Here is a 22,344-nt window from a genome sequence, read left to right on the forward strand (position 1 = left end):
GATAATTTTCACATATTTAGTATTCTCAATGAACTATTCATTGATGCAGCAAATACATATTGAGCACAGTGTTCTAAGTGTTGGAGCAAAACAGACTTTTTTTGTTCTTGTGGAACTTAAATTCTAATAACTTGCTATGCTTATTAGTTACTTAATGATTAATGTTATAAACAGGAGTTGTCACATTAAGGCTCTACCCTGAAGTCTATTGTCTGTTAGCTACAGTGGTTTTTACGTTTTTAAATGCTTGGAAGAAAGAATCAAATGAATTCTATTTCATGACATGTGAGCATAATATAAAACTCAAATCTGTGTCCATAAGTAAAGTTTTCTTGGAAAACAGCCATGCTTATTTATAAATTGTCTATGGCCACTTTTGTGCTACAACAACAGATTTGAATATTTGGACAGAGTTGAGTAGATACAACAGAGACTATATGATCAAGAAAGCCTACAATACTTACTTTTAGCCCTTGGCAGAAAAAGTTTGCTGATCCCTGTATCAGTGTTTATTTTGTATAAATGTATTTCATAGATTGATATCCGGAGGCCCCCTTAAAGACTCCCAGTGAATGACTGAGACCCCAGAAAATAGTGGATATATATCCTCGGATGAAGCATTGATGAAACCATTCCATAAACAAGTGACTGTCACCCACACTTTGATTGTGTTGCCAGGACACAGGCAGATATTTTTTGTTTTTGTTTCTGGGAGCGTGTGGGTTCTTAAACACTCTGGACAGTAATACCTGGCTTTATCATATGCCTGACAGCATTGCTGCATAGTACCAGAGTTAAGCTGTCCTTTCATGTTTTATGCCCTGGTGCATTTTTATGAATTAGTATGTACTTCCCTTGCCTGAGCATTATTCATAATCTCTGAAAAATTTAAGTGATACCATAGCAGAACTTTAGAGACAACCTTAGTAGCTACTAATAGAGGAGTGGTTAAATTAAAATTTTTTTTGGAACGCAATTGACTGTTAGTAACTGATACCACAGAAAGCAAAACCATCGATAAAGGGGGACTACTATGTAGTATTTTTGGATAAGTCCTGTGTTAACCAGTCAGAATAGCAAACTCTAGGCTTGCCAATAACTGTCCACTTTCTAGAATTGTCATGAGATTTATATGAGATGATGTAATTCACATAGTATATGACACTAGCAGTTTTCTGGAAATAGCTACATTTTGTTATTATTAAATGCAGTGTTATTGAACCTTTGTAAACTGATGTTTCTTTGCAAATAATGTTTATAGTTGCAGGTCTGACATCAGTAAGGTCCATGTTTGTAATTGGTTTTCTAGTCATTTGATCTCTTTTCGAACAAATGGATTCATCTATTCACAGTAGTTCTCTTGATGCTGTGCTTGCATTACCTGGAAAACTGTCTTAGGCTGGGGTAGGGCGGTGGATTTAAAGTTTTAGGGACTTCCAGACTGAATATATCATCATGATTTTATTAATGGGAGTACTCTAATCTGTGAGATAATCAGCCATAAAATTTTAAAAACTTATTTACACCTTATTTCCTCCCAGTAATTTGATGTAGATTACCAAATTAGCACAAATAAAATAATGGAAAATCAAAACAATTAGGAGGTGAGTAGATGTGCCAGGATGCTAAAATAATTTATATGTTGTATTTTAATTCAACAGTTGTCTCTGAATTTTCTGGGAACTGAAATTGTGTCCTGTAATTTTATAATTGTATGATAAAGGAATCTTTACAAATTTATTTTGCTCCTTTTGCCTGTTATATACTGTGATCTCTCTAAAGTGATTGTTACTGATATGTTTATATTATTATTTGCATCTATTGAAGTATAAAGTATCAATTTCTGCCTGTACAGAAACTTTGATACTAAGGCAAAAGTTCTTATACATAAGCACAAGTTGAAATGACAGCCGATTGCCATATTTGGCTGTAGTGTTCTCCAGATAGCAGCAAGGCCTGATAAGCAGGGGAAATGCTTACTTTTTACTCTCTGGAGAAAGCTATCCTAAGATCCTCTACCCTAATTGTCTCAAATATCTTTGGAAAGATTCACATGAAAAGAAAGTAATACAATAAACCTCCATGTTCCTACAAATTTGCATTGTCTTTAGGAAAAAAAAAGTAGGCAGTTGAATTATTCTTAAATCCATGCCAATGCTATCCACCATCATTCCCAATAGCTGTATGTTTTTACTACTTTTAAATGGTTTTCAAATAGTTGTTGATAGATTGTCACATTATAGCATTTTTGACTCATATTTCTGGATCTTTTTTTACAGTTAAATCGTCGATCTGAAATTGTTGCTAATAGCTCTGGTGAATTCATCTTGAAGACATATGTAAGACGAAACAAGTCTGAAAGTTTTAAAACTTTGAAAGGCAACCCAATTGGACTTAACATGTTGAGCAACAATAAGAAATTGAGGTATAGGCACTTCACCACACATTCCTACAGAAAAGATAAAGGAAGAGTTTGACACCAAAAACTTAGAAGCTAATAGGCCCAACCTGTACCTTTTCTTCTGAATTTGTCTATAGGGCCAAGAGGTAGCATGGTCCCAGTATGTGGATTCTTTGCTTTGAATCTTAGGAGTAGGATTGATTGCAGTGTCTCTTGTTTCTGAATAAAACATTGCAAGAAATACTTTGTTAGGGTGGGATATCATGATTTTGCTTTCATACATTTAGTAGAATCTCAGTCATAATATTTGAAGAAGCACAATAGAGTGGTGTGGTCATGTCTCCTTTAGGAAATACTAATCAGGATTGTCTCAATAGGGGACTTAAAAATTTCTTATTCCTCCTTTTTACAATAGTGAACCACCATTATTGGTAGGATTGGGTATCAGTAGCAACTCAGAAATAGGGTTGAAAGTCACTTTTATTTCTGCTGTCTCAATTTATACATAGACAAATGAAGTACATAAAAGCTCAGTAACTTTCAAGTCAGTGGCAAAATCAGAAATAGTATTTAGGACTCCTGATTTTTATTTTAGTATTCTGCTTTATTTTTTAAATTTTCTCAACCTCCGCCTCCCGGGTTCAAGTGATTCTCCTGCTTCATCCTCCCGAGTAGCTGGGATTACAGGTGCCCACCACCATGCCCAGCTAATTTTTATATTTGTTATTAGAGACGGGGTTACAGCATGTTGGCTGGGCTGGTCTCGATCTCCTGACCTCAGGTGATCTGCTATTTTTAAATTTTTCTTTAATTGGATTGGAAACATTTGAAAGACAAATTCAGGAAATGGAAAACTCCCAAAAGACAATTGGGTTTATCCATAAATTTTTTGTTGTTGTTGGTAAAGGTTTTTGTGTGTTTGTTCAGATTTTAAAAGATTTTTTTTATAAATGTGTATATAATTTTTCCGTGTTCAAGTTATTTTTTGTTTCTTGAATCTGCAGTGAAAATACGCAAAATACGTCATTATGTTCTGGAACTGTAGTTCATGGTAGACGTTTTCATCATGCTCATGCACAGATACCAGTAGTAAAAACAGCAGCCCAAAGGTAAGAATTCTAATTGTCTTTGGTTAGTATATACATGGCATCTTCTTCAATAGGTTTTCACTTTTTTTAACCATTTTTTTCCTTTGTGAAACCTTACTGTTTTCACTGTCTGTAGAGAGATATATCTCTGAAATAATTCATGACATGAAATTATACTATTTTATATCTGCTTTTGAGTAATCAGATTCTGTAAATAGAGAATTTTTCACTAAGACCTGTTGTATTGCATTATAATCCAGAGAATCTAAGATGATACTGAAACTGATTTACAATATTGACCTGAAAGTGTTTGACTGAGATATCTTCAGTTGGTAGTTTAGCTCTGAAGAGTAAAATTACAGTTAATACCGTACTTTCTTTATAAGGCTTATAAGAGTTCATAGCATCAAAACAAGTCACATTAGTTTTAAATGTTGGAGAAAATGTTATTTTGTAGTTGTAGTTAGATTTAGGAGTTCTCATTGATCTTGAAAGTACTGCTTGAGTCAAAATAATGAAAGTAACATTTAGGGAACCATTTTTGGAATGTTACATGACCTTTCAGTTGACTGAAATTCTTAGGCTACAAGAGTTAAATAAATAATTTGTTTATTGCATTATAAACAGTTCCTTATAACTAGTAACATTTTAAGATTTGGCATATATTTTAGATACTGTTCTTCATTTTTTAAAAATGTAATATCTAGACTGCTCGTCATTTAGAAGACACGTCCTGAACCTTGCTATATTTTTCTGTTTACATAGATGGGCTATCAGATCTTTTACTTAAAAATGTTAAGTAACCTCATACTTTATGATAAACCAACCTTTTGTTTTTGCCTTAAATGTATTATTGTATCAAATAGTGTTCACCTGAGATGCTTGAGAAACTTAAAAGGACAAATTACTGTGCAGACCAAAAATTGGCTTACTCTACTGCAAAGTATACAAGCTCTCTGGCCTACATATGGCAAAAACATGAGAATAAACAATAAAAGGAGAGTAATTAGGGGAGAGAAAAAGAGTAGACACATTCTTATGCCCTGATCATACTAATAGAAACCATTGCTGATAAAGCTGACTTAATATTCTGATAATGTAGTCTAAGTTTGAAATACTAACTTAAACCTTATAATCAATTTAGGTGATTCATTTACAACCAAAATTATTACATTATTTTTGCTTTTGAAGTTGTCTGTTAGTTTGGAATTACTAGTGACCTATTTTCCATTCCTCATTTCCTCACTGGTAATGTTAAAAAAAAACAACCCGTTAATAGTCTGGAAATTGGGTTGCGATTTGTTTTACTCTAGGTCTCAACACCTATAACATTTTGCATGTGTATTATTGCTCATTTACATAAAAGATTAGATTCAGTTCATATGAACTAGTTTATACTGGTAAAATGTTTCTTTAAAAACAACAACCTGAGTTAATTTGTATTTAAGAAATAATCCTAATTGAAAAATTCTTAATGATTAGGGGCAGCAAAGAAAACTGTATAATCAAGTCAGCAGGACAGATTCTACTTACATTTGTCTTTTATTTATTCTGTATAAGAATAAGCATTTCTTATTCCAACTGCAGCATGACTGTCACTAAAAAGATTTTGATGTTCAAAGACAAGTCATTGAGAGTTCTTCGGTTTTCTTCCTTCAAAAACATTGAATGATTTTATGCTACATACCAGGCATAGATGAGGTGCATAAAGATGAATATGATAAAATCTCTACCAGTAAAGCTCAAGTTTGATTGCAGTAGAGATTGATTAGGGTACAGAAAGACAAGTAAACAAATGATTACATGCATGGTTAGGGCAGCAGTAGAGCTATACAAAATACGTGTAGTAAAAACTACAGAGAAGGGAACAAGAATTTATAAAGGAAACATTAAAGGAGTTTTTGAGTTTACCAGGTAGAAGAAGAAACTGCATGCAGTAGGAATCACGTCTTCAAAGGCACAAAGAAAGGCTTTAACTAAGATTGTTGCTTCCAGGGATTTAGCACAATTGTTAGACTTCAGGTGAGGGTAAACACATTGGCTTTTACAGCTTCTCCTAAATTTTCTTATTTTCTGAAGTCTTAATTTTTTTTTTTTTTTTAATTATAGAGATAGGGTTTTGCTCTGTTGCCCAGGCTGTAGTGTAGTGTCTCAGTCATAGCTCACTGCAGCCTCAAACTTCTGGTCTCAAGCAATCCTTCCACTTCAGCCTCCTGAGTAACTAGGACTGCAGGCATGCACCACCGCACCAGGCTAACTTTAAAAAAATTTTTTTTGTAGAGACGTGGTCTCACTTTGTTACTTAGGCTGGTCTCCAGCTTCAAGCAGTCCTGCCTCAGCACCGTAAAGTGCTGGAATTACAGGCCTGAGCACTGCACCTGTCTCAAGTCTTATAATAATTTGAAATGAAAACAAAAGCCATCCATCTGGTAATTCATACATAGTGTATTCTTGGGGTGAGTGGTATATCTTGTCTTTTAAGTAAATCAGTCCTGCTAAAATCTGAGTAATTCGTAGTTCTTTAGTAATAATATGGGAACGAGTGCTTTACACCTTTTTATCTAAACAGAATGGTGAAGTTTGTTAAAATACCACATTAGATTAGGTAGTCTTTGGGTCATAATTAAGATTCCAATCTATTTTCTTAACTGCTATTCCAAATGTTAAATTCATATTTAAAAGATAGATTGTTTATACACTAATAGTGATAGAGAAGTATGGAAAAAAATGCAGAAATTTAAAAGTCTGTAGTTCATACCATCCCTGCCCCTAACTTCAATCTGACTTGTTGAAACAACACATTTTATGGGTTGATGTTTTACTTACACTTTCACATTTTTTGACTTTTTATTAAGTATAGATAAAAAGACTTATAAGAACCTTATAAGAAATTCTTGTAATTCTTATAAGGTTCTTAGAAGTCTTTTTATCATCTTTATCTTTTAAGTCTTCCCCCGCAACTTAGGGGGATATGGATGTCTATGAAAGCATATATAATTCATAAATAGGAATATGGGCTCCTAGAATAAGTAATATTTAATTATTAGTGAAAAGCACCATTTTGAGAGGTTTTTTGTGTTTGTTTGAGACTGAGTCTCGCTCTTCTACTGCCCATGCTGGAGTGCAGTGGCGTGATCTCCACTCACTGCAGCCTCCACCTCCTAGGTTTAAGCAATTCTCAGCCTCCTGAGTGGCTGAAATTACAGGCGTGTGCCACCATGCCCAGCTAATATTTGTGTGTGTGTGTTTTTAGTAGAGATGCGGTGTCACTATGTTGGTCAGGCTGGTCTCGAACTCTTTACCTCAAATAGTCCACCCACCTTGGCCTCCCAAAGTGCTGGGATTACAGGCTTGTGCCACCACACCTGTCCCATTTTGAGAGAATTTTTGAAGTTGTAAATGAGGTCATTGATACCAGAATTTATCTATTAGTCTTTTTCCCTTTTCTTTTGTTTTTTTTTTTTTTAATTTTAAGGCCACAGTTATAGTACTAATTGAAGGTAATTTTTCTTTTCTATATTGTATGAAATAGTCCAACAAGAATGTAAGTTGACATTTTTACAAAGTCCTACATTACTAATAATGACTTTTCCCCGGTTTTATGTTTTATTTTAACATGAAAGCAACTCTAGGGCAGGACTTGATAAAAACACATATTGAAGGTACCTGTAAGAATACCATGACTTGTTAATCAGATACATTATAATGAATGCATTTTTTCTCAAGGATAAGAAAAATGAGCATTGATGTGTCTTTGTGTGTGTAGTGTGTGTGTGTGTGTGTGTGTGTGTGTGTGTGTGTATATATATATATATATATATATATATATATATTTTTTTTTTTTTTTTTTTTTTTTTTTTAACTGTTTTCCTTTTCCTAACTCCCTTGGCTTATTGGGAAGTATTATACCTAACCCGTTTCTTCTACCTCTGTTTTTCTACCTATTTCCTTTCCTCTGTACAGGTGAGTATAAAAAACAACAGAGGCCGGACATGGTTGACTTAGACCTGTAATCCCAGCACTTTGGGAGGGCAAAATAGGAGGATAGCCTGAGCCCAGGAGTTCGAGACCAGCCTTACCAACATGGCGAAATCTTGTCTCCATAAAAAATACAAACATTAGCCAGGCATAGTGGTGCACACTTGTAGTCCCAGCTGCTCAAGGTGGGAGAATCACCTGAGCCTAGGGAGATCAAGGCTACAGTGAGCTGTGGTTGTGCCACTGCACTCCAGCCTGGGTGACAGAGCCAGACCCTGTCATCTCAAAAACAAAAACAAGAGAGTACTAAACTGTTCTTATTTTTTGGGCACAGCAGTATAGAATTGGAAGTGGCTACATTAGGTATTAATGCCTAACTGTTGGTTTTCATTTTGCTTTTTCTGGAAATGCAGCTATATAAGAAATAAATACATAGGATAGGACAGACTAGATTTAAACTTTTATGTTTATATTTTGCTTCGCTTCTTTAATAGGGATGTGATTATATTCCCTTGTTTTTCTGTCATTTATCTAACCTATGTGTTTTTTAGTAGCAAAGATAAAATTTCAGATATATTAATGTACATTTATAATATTCTTTTCCTTTTGAAAATTTTTTTTAAATTTGTATATTTTTAATGTGTTCATGTAAAAACAAGTTACTATATTTTTTTTCTTCATTTGCTAGGATTAAATTGGTATTTTAGTTGCATACTCCACATGATAGGAGTATAAGAATTGATATAGGAATTTGGGGATTTTGTAAATTATGCTTTGCTTACAGTTAGTTCCAAATATTTCATTCCTTTTATAATAAGGATAAATAATATTAGACATGAATCTCATTTTATTCTAAATTGAGGGCTTATATAATTTCATTCTCGAGTAATTGATGTTAATAGCTTTTTGGAGTTTTCATGAACTATGGAGAAGGGTGGAACTTTTATACATTGGACTTGTGATAAGAAGCCAAGATTTTAAATTATAGGCTTTTCCTTGTGTCCCAAATCATATACCATATTTAATCTAAGACTTTTGTGCAAAAATTTCAGCCTTAAAAAATTTTTTTTCTTACTCCAAAGGAAATAATCATACCTGATATTAGGATCAGTCTGGAACCAGTAAAAATTTTATAACTTCTAGGAAATGCTATTGTTTCTTGAAGACTATTTCTGTAACAACAGTAGTCTCCTCCTTATTTGTGGTTTGATTTAACCATTCCCTTATTAGTAGATACTGAAGTTGTTTCTGAATTTGCTATGATAACATTATTGAATTTTTCAGATATTGAGAATTATGTCCAGGTGAGGGAAGTACATACTATTTATAAAAGTACAAAGGAGGTACCATGGCATTAAACATGAAAGGACAAGCTAACTCTTCTGCTATGTAGCAACACTCTCGGGCATATAATAAAACCAGGTGTAGTATACAGAGCAAAAAACCCATGTGCTCACAAAAACATTTGCTCGTCTTCTGGCAATGTAATCAGAAAGTGTGGTTGACACCCATTTTATTTATGAAATGTTTTTACCAATGCTTCATTTTGGTATATTGGATTCGGTACTATCATCAGTTTCAGGCACCCATTGGGGGTCTTGGAAAGGATCGTTAGAGAATAGCAGGGAATATTGTATTCTAACATATCTTCAAGTATTTGATAGTTAAAGCCCTTTTAAGATTTTTTTATATTTTTGTGTATTCATCTTCCTGTTTGTTTATTTTGTATATTGACAGAAATCGAAAAACAATTTAGACATGACTCAAAACATAGTATATTATATATATATAATGTATTTAAAACAAGTTGATCACAGTATAATTTTGCCTTAATGACTATAGTTACTGCAACTACAGTGATATATCAACAATGAGGTCTTGCCTCTTATATTTTTTTTCTTTTTCATGTTTTAAGCAGTCTGGACCGAAAAGAAAGGTAAGCTTAATATTGAAGAAATTAGAGCATGGATATAGTGGTAAAATATAAAATTATTTATATGTTTTGAAAAATATTGGTTGAATTAGAGTTTATAATTAAAGCTTTTTTTAATTTTAAAGTTTTAGTTGACATGTAATAATTGTACATATTTATAGGATACAGAGTAATATATCAATACAGGTATACAATGTGTATGATCAGATCAGGGTAATTAGTATATCCATCACCTCAAACATTTTTTGTTCCTTTGTGTTGTCAGCATTCAAAGTCCCTTTTTCTGGCTTTTTGAAAACATAAAATAAATTATAGTTAACCATATTCACCCTATAGTGCCACAGAAAGTGAGAACTCATTCTTCCTGTCTAGCTGTAATTTTGTATTTGTGAACCCACCTCCCTCCATCCTCTCCTCCCCTACCCTTCCCAGCCTACAGTATCCACAGTTCTACTCTCTATAATAAAAGGAAACTTGTTGACAGTACAACATGGTATTTGGCTTATATAGGTGGTATTTGAGGCTCATTCTGAATGTACATTTTTCTATAATGGTTATATATATTTATGCTAATAAGTGACTCCTTTCTTTTAAAATAGAATATTTCAGTGCTTTAGTAGTAAAATTGCTTTCAGTTACATCATCAAAATCTTTATCATTATATTTTAGTGATAATACCCTTGTTTTTATGCTTTAATAGACTGGGGGAGGGAGAGGGAAATGTATTAAACACCTTAAGCTTAGAGTTAAAACTTTAAACATCAAGTGTATTCTCTTCTGACTGAAAGGTTTGTAAGAGAATTTTGTGATCAGTCTTCTATCATTATTTGTTCTCTTTGTAAGAACACTGGCAGACACATGTTGTTCTTTTAGAGGATATTTGAATGGTATAAATGGCATGGAAAAGTGTTTAAGAAAACACACACATTTCTTTGAACATTTCAAAGTAAAATGATCATAATTGTTCTAAAGTGGGTATCCATAAGAGTAGCTGGACTGGGCAAGGTGGCTCACACCTATAATCTTAGTACTTTGGGAGGGCAAAGCGGGAGTATCTCTTGAGCCCAGGAGTTCCAGACTAGCCTTGGCAACATAGGAAGGCCCTGTCTCTACAAAAAAATAAAATAATTGGCCTGGAGTAGGTAGTAAGACAGTAAACAAACTGGAAAGTCCAGCTATTTTTAATTTCCAACCAAACTGTTGAATCAATTAAAAAAAAAAACGAGTCTATAGTGCCTTTCAAATGCCTGAATTTTGACATTTGTACATCAGCTGATGGATTAATATTTTGAATTGCTATGTGATGGCTCTGCATGGGCATGGTGGCCAGTGCTTCAGTTTTGACAGCATTACCATCCTTGGTGATGACATGGACAGCAATGTTTCTACAATTGTTTGAAATGGTAAATATATTTTTGATTACATGCTGCCTTTTAGGCATACGCTTTTATTCATTCCAAGTATTTATCGAACCTGCTGTTACAGGATACAGTGCATCCTGCATAAGGATACAGTGATGAACAAAGCAGACAAGATCCCCGCAGTCCTGTAGTTTACATTCTTATGGGACAAAGACTAATACTGAACAAGTAAAACATGAAATAATAATTTCCATGTAGAGAAGTGTAATGGGTTGATGTGATAGACTGACAGTATGATTTCTTTAAATCGCATATTCAGGGAAACTCTTTACTATGAAGCTAACATTTAACTAAAGACTAAATGGGGAATTGGCAGTGCCACGATCATAAGAATGGCTTTTCCAGATAGGGAAGAGGTTGTGCTAAGTTACTAATCCAGGAATGAGTTTGGCATGTCAAAGAACAGAAAAAAGGGGCCACTAAGGCTGGAGCTTAGAGAGGAAAGGAGACAATGTTATGAGACGGGTTTGGAGAGACTGGCTGGGACCTACGTCATAAAAGGTTTTTGTAAGGTGATCTGAAGCATTTGGATTTTATATTAGTGCGATAGAAGCTTTCAGAGCATTTGAGATAGGGAAGTATTGTTACCTGATAAATATTTGAGATTTTTAAACACAGTCTTTTGCATGTGATTTATAATTTGGCATAAATAGAAGTTTAAATCAGTGGCAATCAGTTAAGGCTGGGCAAGTTCCTCTCTAAATGGAGGTGTGTTACAAAGGAAAATCAGTAATAGTCTGTAAGTACTCAAAACTATCTCAGCAAGGTCTAGGAGTTGGGGAGGTAGAAAGACAGAGGTAAAACCAATCTTTTTGGTGGGGGAGGTGGGGATTGGAAGGGTTAAGGTGGAAAAATAAAAAGATTTTGAAGGTCTCATCCCATTAGGGATATAATATAATTTGCTTGAGGAAATCATTTGAATCTTGGTAACTGTAATAAGCATTGAGAGGGAAGGTAACTATATTCATTTGTTAAATTCAGTAAGGAAGCAAAAGAGTATGTTGTGCAAACAGTGTTGTATAAAAATAGGAGAAAAGAGGAAACAAAATGAAATAATAAACATAAATAGAAATATAAAAAGTAATAGAGTAAAATGAAAACAAGTCCTATCAGTAGTTATAATAACTGTAGTCAGTATATTTAACAAAAGACATGCTGATTTGATTAAACCCAGCTATACTACATTGTTTACAAGCATCATACTAAAATAACAATGTGAAAGTAAGTTTAAAGCCACAAGAGATGCAAACAAAAAGAAAGCATGAGTGGAATTTTAATTACAAGGGAGATGGAGTTAAGGATTAAAAGCAGTAGACAGGATAAAGGAGCACATTTTGTAATAGGCACAGTTTATGGGAACATAACAAATAAATGTAAAGCCTCCCCTAAAATAGTTAAAATTCAAGAAATTCAACATGGTAAAACCCCGCCTCTATTAAAAATACAAAAATTAGCCGGGTGTGATGGCATGCGCCTGTAATCCCAGCTACTCGGGAGGTTGAGACATGAGAATTGCTTGAACCTGGGAGGCGAAGGTTGCAGTAAGCCAAGATAGTGCCACTGCACTCCAGCCTGGGTGACAGCAAGGCGCCATCTCAAAAAAATGAAAACAATAGAATACAATTGTGGGAGACTTTAATACATCTTGAAAATTAAACTGGTTTATCAGTTAAATAGGAATAATGAATTTTAACTGTAAAATAAATAAGACTTGATTCATTTTCATAGAAATGTATGTATTTGGCCATCTTTTATAATAATGGAAAAATTAATAAAAAGAGCTATCATTAAAGCAAGGCAAACAACAATAACAAAAAGAGAAATGGTGTCCAGATCCTGGTTTCTAAATACCACTCTCCACTAAAAGGAATTTGGAGAAATGGCTGATTCTGGGGTTGTGATAGGTAAGACACAGAATGAGTATGGTATCAGAAACCTAGAAAATGTTCAAAAAATTAAGAGTGCCCACTTCAAAAGCACCTGTACTAAAATTGGAACAATAGAGAGATGATTAGCATGGATGACACACGAATTAGTAAAGCATTTCATATTCTTGTAAACTGTGTATGTTTTATCACAGTAAAAAAGAAAAAAAAAACACCAAAAGGATGTAGTTACATCAAAGGGAAACGGGAGCCAACTAAAAGGGCTCCCAAATGCCCAAACTGATAACAATTGGATTATAACTTAGACCGAGGGACACTCTATGAAATACCTGACGAGTTCTCTCTAAATACTGAAAAACACAAGAGAGGAGACTAAGGAGACATGATGACTTAATGCATTGTATCCTAGATTGGATCCTGGAACAAAAATGGGGTATTAGTAAATAGCTGGTAAATTTCTTTCTTTCTTTTTTTTTTTTTTGTTTTCTTTTTCTTTGAGACAGTCTGGCTCTGTCGCCTAGGCTAGAGGGCAATGGTGCAACCTTGGCTCACTGCAACCTCTGCCTCTCAGGTTCAAGCAATTCTTGTGCCTCAGCCTCCTGAGTAGCTGGGATTACAGGCATGTACCACCATGCCTGGCTGATTTTTGTATTTTTAGTAGAGACGGTGTTTCGCCATGTTGGCCAGTCTGGCCGCGAACTCCTGGCCTCAAGTGATCTGACGGCCTTGGCCTCCCAAAGTGTTGGGATTACAGGCATGAGCCACCTTGCCCAGCCGGTAAATTTCTAAGGCTAGAATTTAGTTCGTAATAGTGTACCAGTGTTGGTTTCTTTTTTGACGTGTGATGGCAATATTAAGGTGTTGACATTAGGGTAAGAGATATAAGGGTATTCTGAATTGTCTTCGTAACTTTTCTGCAAATCTAAAATTATTTCAAACTTAGTTTACTACAAAAAATAGACTTTCACCACTGAGGCTTATCGAACTTTTAATGAACAGAGCATTCTGATGTTATTTAAACAATTCAGGATAGAGAAATAAATGCTCTCTAGTTCATTTTAAACAGCTTGTAAAAATCTTGGGTTTATGAAATGGGACCTCTGAAGCTACACAAACGCAAACCCTAAGAAGCAAAAATGCTACCCACCTACACAGGAAGACAGCAGATGACAGTAGAGCTTCTCTGCCTCTGGTTGGTTAGGGGTAGAAAAGAAATAGCCACTTTGAGATTAAATCCTAGGCTTGATTTTCAATGAGTTTGGAATTTGAAATTTATACCTGCAAGAGTAATGGAATCCTCAAATTAAGAAATTAATGTAAATGCTGGCCAGGTGTGGTGGTTTATGCCTGTAATCTCAGCACTTTGGGAGGCCGAGGCAGGCAGATCACTTGAGGCCAGGAGTTCGAGGCCAGCCTGGCTGACATGGTGAAACACCATCTCTACTAAAAATAACAAAAATTAGCACAGCATGGTGGCGCACACGTGTAATCCCAGCTACTCAGGAGGCTGAGGCATGGGAATCACTTGAACCCGGGAGGCAGAGGTTGCAGTGAGCCAAGATTGCGCACGCTACTGTTCTCCAGCCTGGTGACAGAGCCAGACTCTGTCTCAAAGAAAGAAAGAAATTAATGTAAATTTTCATTTTAGATCATCTAGCAAAAAGGTTTTAAAACTGAATTTTGGAGAAAATAATATATGGCTAGGTAGTTTATCAAACATTTTTATCTTGAAATGTTTATATTCTTGTATTTAAGATACTCTGTTTCTTTATTATAATTTTTAAAAAACAGAACTTTAATTTGCCCTGCTTTTATAGGAAAAAATATAGCAAATATTGAAAACAGTGGCCATAAATTCTGGAAATACAGGGAAGTATACACATTAGTTTAATGTTACAATACTTGGTAAGATTGTAGCTATCATATGATGTATTCAGCATGTTGTCCCTCATTAGCAAAGATGGCTCAGTACACAAGTTCAAATTGCAAGAGCACTGCATTAATATAACAGTTTCATCAATCTCTATACATGCATGTATGATTTACTGTCTCAGATGATTTATGTCAATTGTTTTTACTAAATCTAGGTAAACCTGGATTTGGAAATAAGACTATATTATATTCTCTTTAGTGTGAAAGTGTATGGAATTTGAAAATATGCATTTTATTTTAATCCCAAGTTAGGAACTAAAAACCTACCTTCTTTCTTATAAGACTGTTACTACTACATCTCAGGCAAATTCTCATTTTCATAATGCATATCTTCACAAATTTCAAATTTTTCAGTGTGGAAATTGCCCAGTTTTACCAGATGTTGCTCTGCTTGATATTGGTGCAATTTGCTGGGATTCAGATTCTGGCATTGCTATTTAATAATTGTGTGACCATGGACAAGTTGATTAACCTTATTGCATTTCAATTTTTTCATGTATAAAGTATTAATATGTTATATAAGTTTATTGTGAGGATTAAAGGAATTAATAAATACAAAGCACACATGGCACATGATGCTATTTTCTGACTGCTATTATAAGTACACTACTGTCAGCCGGGCGCGGTGGCTCACGCCTGTAATCCCAGCACTTTGGGAGGCTGAGACAGGCAGATCACGAGGTCAGGAGATCAAGACCATCCTGGCTAACACAGTGAAAGCCCATCTCTACTAAAAATACAAAAAATTAGCTGGGCGTGGTGGTGGGCGCCTGTAGTCCTAGCTACTCGGGAGGCTGAGGCAGGAGAATGGCATGAACCTGGGAGGCGGAGCTTGCAGTGAGCCGAGGTCATGCCACTGCACTCCAGCCTGGGCGACAGAGCGAGACTCCGTCTCAAAAAAAAAAAAAAAAGTAAGTACACTACTATCTCCACCCATATTACTTTTTCTTTTGTTATTTTCATATTTTGTTTTCAGTTCAAGTGCCTTGACTTTTTGTAATATAAGAATTTGAAATTCTTGCAAGAAAATTTCTTTGGAACTTTTGTTTGAGTAAAATGATTTTAATGAAATGAAAGCTATGATTTACATTACTAGATCACCAGTGTGAATAGAATTACAAATAAATAGCCTCTTTTATTTTTATGTGGTTTATTTAGAGTAGGAAAGTAGCTATTGTAGCTCCCTGGTCTGTTGCACTTTTTGTAGTTCCCCTTCTGTGATGCGCTTTTATACAATTAGCTATAAGGTTTTTGCTTTTTTTCCCCCCAAATTTTGCTTTTTTCCCCCAAAATTAGTGTTGTGTTTAAATAGATACAGTATTTGGATGTAGTATTTAGATATAGTACTTAGTTACTAAGGATTATGTTTAAAATCCTTGATATTGTGTGTATTTGAAGTTTAAGAGAGGAATTTAATACTTTACAACAAACATACTTTATAGCCCCTGACATAATGTAATCATACTACAAGACTAAATACTTGTTCCACGATTGCTGATCTTGTACGTAACGTTTTTTGTTCTGATTTTGGAATTGTCCTCAAGACAATCTCATTCAACATTTATTCCTTTATTTATTAATTTGTTTTTAAACAACTAAAAAATACAGTAAAATTTTACAAATTGAGTTTCATTTATTGGTATAGTTTTGTTATTTTATAGTATCACTTTTTATATGGCAAAGAAGCTATGATTTGCTTTTAATAGGCTTATTGTAAGTATGCCATTAACTTTTTCATTTTGAAAACTGTATTTCCTGTTAGAATAAAACTACATAAATTTCTTTTTTAGGAAAGAATACCCACCTCATGTCCAAAAAGTTGAAATTAATCCTGTAAGGTTAAGTCGGCTCCAAGGTGTTGGTAAGTGTGCAGTTTTGTTACACCTGTGAAGGATTTCAAATTGCTGTATGAAAAGTACAATGGAGATACGATGCTGGCTTTAGAATATTCCCAGGTATAATAGATATATATGTAGAAAACCATTTTTTTGTAACTGATTTGAGAATTTCTTCAATGGTAACCTGATACCTGGAACAGTTGCACAGTTAGGTGATTACAGTTTGAAATCTTTTGATTATTTTAGCATTTTTGCTATGTTACAAATTTGCAAATAGTGTAACTGTAGTTGAGCTATAGCTTTGAAATTGAGTTTTATTGAACTATGTTATAATGTATTATGTAATTGTGTTTCCACTTACTGGTTTTGCTTCTAAAATTTAGAATACATTAGGGAAACACTCAATTAAAAAGAGACCACACCTGCTAAAACTGTGTTAATAGTAGATACTGGAAAATCATGGTGAGTAAGTATTTATATTCATATTGAAATATTTTTCAATATACTGGTTATTAATCCAAAAAATAAAATAAGGGCAAATAACATTTATAAAAAATATATCATCATAAAATCAGTTTTCATTATCTGGAATAATGATTCTTAATGTGTGTCCATCTTGTTTTTCTGAGGCCTTTGTTTGTTTAAATAGCTCTGATGGCTCTTACTTCCAAAATAGAATAATTTTTAAAAGCTAGGTTTTTCTGATAGCTTAGAATGTGCTTTTAAAAAACACCCACATTTTTTTTTCTACTTTGGGTGAAAATCTTTTGTGCATGTATTGAACATTTCTCTATTTCATAAAGAGAATATTCCAAACATTTCATCCTTTCTTAATAATGAACAGTCTTTATAGATGTGAATTATTATACTTTACATACTAAGCATAGTTAAGCTTACTAAGTTTATTAAGTTTAGTAATAGTGACTACTCTCTTCAGCATTTATTCTGTTATACCTTAAATGTTTATTGAGCTCTTACTCTGCTATATGCTTAGTCCAGTGCTTTGCATTCATTATTTACTTTTATCCTAGCTTTCTGTTGAAGATCCCTATAAGCTAAAAAACTTCCTCAAGGACATAGGGCTAGTAAATGACAGAGCTGGTATTGGAACCCATGTCTGTTTGATGCCAAATCCCACTCTTAAACACTGTACATTACTATATTCTTGCTCTGTCACAAAGAAGGTTACTACTAATCCTCAGAACTGTACAAAAGGTATTATTTTTATTTTAACAAATGCATTTCTGGCCTGGTATGGTGGCTCACACCTATAATCCCAGCACTTTACGATGTCGATGCAGGCAATCACCTGAGGTCAGGAATTCGAGACCAGCCTGGCCAACATGGCAAAACCCCATCGCTACTGGAAAAAAAAAAAATACAAAAATTAGCTGGGCATGATGGCACATACCTATAATCCCAGCTACTCGGAAGGCTGAGACACAAGAATCGCTTGAACCCAGGAGGCAGAGGTTGCAGTGAGCCGAGATCGCATCACTACGCTCCAGCCTGGGTGACAGAGTGAGACTTGGTCTCAAAAGTGAAAAAAAAAGCATTTCAAAGATGTTAAGTGATTTGGCCCACTAATAATGGTTTTAGATGCCTATCAGCCAGGCTTGTTACCAATAATTTTTAAAGTTTATTCAACAGCATTCATTAAGTAAATAAGCATATTCAAGTTAAGAGAAAAAAGAGCATGCTTATTTACTGTTCTTTTAACTTGGGTTTTGTTTGTTTGTTTGTTGTTGTTGTTTTTTGAGATGGGGTCTCACTCTGTAGCCCAGGCTGGAAGGCAGTGGTGTGATCTCAGCTCATTGCAACCTCCGCCTCCCGGGTTCAAATAATTCTCTGCCTCAGCCTCCCGAGTAGCTGGGATTACAGGCGCCTGCCACCAAGCCCAGCTAATTTTTGTATTGTTAATAGAGACGAAGTTTCACCATGTTGGCCAGACTGGTCTCAAACTCCTGACCTCGTGATCCACCCACCTCGGCCTCCCAAAGTGCTGGGATTACACGCGTCAGCCACCGCGCCTGGCCCTTAACCTATTATTTTGAAATAATTTTAGACTTAGAGAAAATTTGCAAATTTAATACAGAGACATACGTTTATTTTTTCACACAGCTTCCCTTAATGTTAGTATTTTATAATCCTCGTACACTTAGCAAAACTAAGAAATTGGTATAAGATTCTTAACTAAGCTGTAGAACTTATTTAGATTTCACTAGCTTTTCACTAATATCCTTTTTCTGTTCCACGATTCATTCTGTGATCCCACATAGCATTTGTCATGTTCTCTTAGTTTCCTTAACGATTTTGAAGACTAGTCAGTTGCTTTGTATAATGCCTCTCAATTTGGTGATGATGATGTCTTAGGATTAGATTAAGGCTATGCATTTGGGGCAAGACTTCCACAGAAATGATGTTGTGGCATTCTCAGTGCATCATTTTAGGGGTTACATGATGTTGAATATGTCTTAGGATTGGTAGTGTTAACCATGATCATTTGGTTAAGATACTCTCTGCTGGGTTTTTTCACTGTAAAATTACCGTTTTTCCCTTGGTGCTTAATAAAGATTTTAGAAGAGATATACTCTGAAACTGTGCAAATACCCTGTTTTTCTTCAAACTTTCACCCACTGATTTTAGCATCCATTGGTGGGTCTTGCTGGCATCAGTTACTGCTTAATGTTTGTCTAATGTTGATTTTCTGTTTTCTTCATTTCTTTTACATTTATTGATTGGAAATCGTCTGTAGGGAAGATCTGTACCTTCCTGATATATTTATTGATGATTATTAATTATTTATAGCTGTGGACTCATTATTAATAAATGAGGGTTTTATGAGTAATACTTGTAAACCTTAGGAGAGGAATGTTGATGTATTTAACTTGTAAACTTTGTTTTCAGCTTCTTTTGTGTTAGGTAGGTACATGTATGCTTGGGTGTAGGATAAATAGCAATGCTATAATAATACTGTATATATTGTTATATGAAGATTGCATTTTATTTCAAGATTTCCTTTGGAGATAACTTTTAAAACATTGAGATTTCAAACCACAAGATCACTAATTACTTGCATAACACTTAGCATAATTTTCTCCTAAACGATATCATGGTCTTTCTATAGTTAACACTCAAGGTGATTTTCTTTATTGTTCTCTTTGCCTTCTTTATTTTGAATTTGAGGCACTTAGTATATTTTTTTATAAGTTATAGCCACATATCAGTACTTACCAGCATGATAAGCAGTTCTTTACTATAAAATTAAAGTTTGTAAACCATTAAGTGTAATTTTTGGTCAGACCACAAGTCCTGTTGCTTTTTTATTTAGTTGCTTTAAAAATTTTTTCTAAACATACAGAATAACAACCGTTAAGATCTCATTTTTCTCTCCACCTACTCTCTCATTTGTTTCTTAAACTCCCTTTTTTTTCAGCCTGTTTTTTGTATCCTTGTTAGAGAGAACAGACATATATTGTCCCTGAATGTACATTTAATTATATTCTTCATGTAATTACATTATGTAATTACAACTCAATCACCTAATTTAGCACTGCTTAACACATGTTAACTTTTGCTTTTTGTTCGTTTTTGAGACAGGGTCTTGCTCTATTACCCAGGCTTGGAGTACAGTGACATGATTATGGCTCACTGCAGCCTCGACCTCCTAGTCTTACATCATTCTCCCACCTCCACCAAGTAGCTGGGACTGCAGGCGCATGCTGCCACATCCAGCTAATTTTTTGTATTTTTTATAGAGATAAGGTTTCACCGTGTTGCCCAGTTTGCTGTCAGGCTTCTGGGCTCCAGCGATCTGCTCGCCTCAGCCTCCCAAAGTGCTGGGATTACAGGTTTGGGCCACTGCTCTGGCCACATATTAACTTTCAACCAGTCATGGTAGCTGTTGTTAATATTTTAATATATAACTCTCCAGATCTTTTCTATGCACATATACTCATTTTTAAATTGATACATAATATTCATACTGTATGTACTGTTCTGTATGTAACTTGCTTTCTGACTTTATGATATCTAGTTTTTACACTCTCATTAAAAGATGACAGACATGGAACCAGCATGGAAAACACAATTAAAGGAAGTTTAAGAATCAAATGCACCAGCTATGGTAGTTCACACCTGTAATCCCAGCATTTGGGGAGGCCAAGGCAGGAGGATCGCTTGAGCCCAGGAGTTTGAGACCAGCCTGGGCAACATGGTGAAACCCTAACTCTCCAAAAAAATATAAAAATTAGCCGGGTATAGTGGCGTGTGCCTGTAGTCCCATCTGCTTGGGAGGCTGAGGCAGGAGGATCACTTGAGCCCAGCAGGTCAAGATTGCAGTGAGCCACAATCGCGCCACTGTCCTCCAACCTGGGCAACAGAGTGAGACCATATCTCAGAAAAATAAAAAGAATCAAATGGATTCTTAAATTTATGGAGGACTTCCTTACAACTTTTTTTTGACCTCGTGATCCGCCTGCCTCAGCCTCCCAAAGTGCTGGGATTACAGGCATGAGCCACCACGCCCAGCTGCAAATTTTTATATCCAAGTTTCTATAATCTTTTTTTTTAAATAAATGTGCAGTGGCCCACTATGTTTATGTGGCATAATTTGTTTTCAATGTTTTGACATTTAAAATATTATTACTGTACTGGTACGTGCTTTTTATATATTTGATCTATTTCTTTGCATCAGATCCCTAGAAATAAAATTTGGGGGACAAATGATATACAGATTTTTAAGACTTGATACGTTAATGCCAAAATGCCTTGTGTGGCCAGGCGCGGTGGCTCACGCCTGTAATCCTGGCACTTTGGGAGGCCGAGGCAGGTGGATCGCTTGAGGTCAGGAGTTTGAAACCAGTCTGGCCAACATGGTGAAATCCCATCTCTACTAAAAATCTCAAAAAAAAAAAAAAAAAAAAGAAAAAGAAAAAAAATGCCTTGTGTAAAGATGGTTAGCTCCCAACACAGTATTATTTGAGTTGGCCTATTTTCTCCTGCTTTTCAGCAACATTAGATTATTATCATTCTTTTAGTTTTTGCCAGTCTGATCAAAATGTTTTTCTTATATTTTCTTCATAACTGGTGAGATATCTTACTTACATGATTAATGGCCATTTGAATTTATTTTATTTATGTCTGCCCATTTATTTATGTGTCCTTTGCCTGTTTCTTACTTATTTAGCAACTCTTTGTTATCTTTGATGTATATATCTTTCCATTTTGTGGTTTTTCTGTTACTTTTTTCTTTTCTTTTTTTTCTTTTTTGACGGAGTTTCGCTCTTGTTGCCCAAGCTGGTGTGCAATGGCGCAATCTCAGCTCACCGCAACCTCCACCTCCCGGGTTCAAGCGATTTTCCTGCCTCACCCTCCCGAATAGCTGGGATTACAGGCCTGGGCCAGTCTGCCTGGCTAATTTTGTATTTTTTAGAGGAGGCAGGGTTTCTCCATGTTGGTCAGTCTGGTCTCGAACTCCCAACCTGAGGTGATCCCCCCGCCTCGGCCTCCCAAAGTGGCGGGATTACAGGCATGAGCCACTGTGCCTGGCCTTACTTTTTTCTAATGTTGTCAAATAGTACATTGTAGTTGAATCTGTTGTTAAAGTTGGGTTTCCTTAGTATTGTATTTAGTAAAGCTTTTCCAACCCTGGGATTTTAAAAATATTCACCTTTATTTTCCAAAAGTCCTTGTAGATTTATTTTTATTTATTTACATGTTTTTACATGTACATCATTTTTATTTAACAGCATTATTTTATTAATTAACCTTGTTTTCCCTCAATGCGTTTGGGTGAATGTCAGGAATGCCTACTGAAGTATTTAATAAATTGCTCTAGGAATCAATTTCAACATTTTTTCTCATGT

At 34.9% G+C, this 22,344-nt stretch overlaps 1 protein-coding gene and 1 pseudogene across 3 annotated transcripts in view; both read left to right on the forward strand.

Moving 5' to 3' along the window:
* SENP6 (SUMO specific peptidase 6) overlaps positions 1-22,344 on the forward strand; it is a 116,402-nt gene that overhangs the window by 29,422 nt on the left and 64,636 nt on the right. For 2 of the 3 annotated variants that reach the window (NM_001100409.3, NM_001304792.2), the window contains exons 4-6: positions 2,280-2,425; positions 3,406-3,510; positions 16,430-16,500. In NM_001100409.3, the coding sequence (NP_001093879.1) occupies positions 2,280-2,425; positions 3,406-3,510; positions 16,430-16,500 (322 nt within the window). Of the gene's footprint in view, positions 1-2,279; positions 2,426-3,405; positions 3,511-9,382; positions 9,404-16,429; positions 16,501-22,344 lie in introns of all 3 variants that reach the window. The other variant, NM_015571.4, reaches the window with a different exon arrangement.
* On the forward strand, positions 12,783-12,876 carry RNU6-1016P (RNA, U6 small nuclear 1016, pseudogene; annotated as a pseudogene).

Source organism: Homo sapiens, chromosome 6, assembly GCF_000001405.40.
Source record: "Homo sapiens chromosome 6, GRCh38.p14 Primary Assembly".
In the NCBI taxonomy this organism is placed as follows: domain Eukaryota; kingdom Metazoa; phylum Chordata; class Mammalia; order Primates; family Hominidae; genus Homo; species Homo sapiens.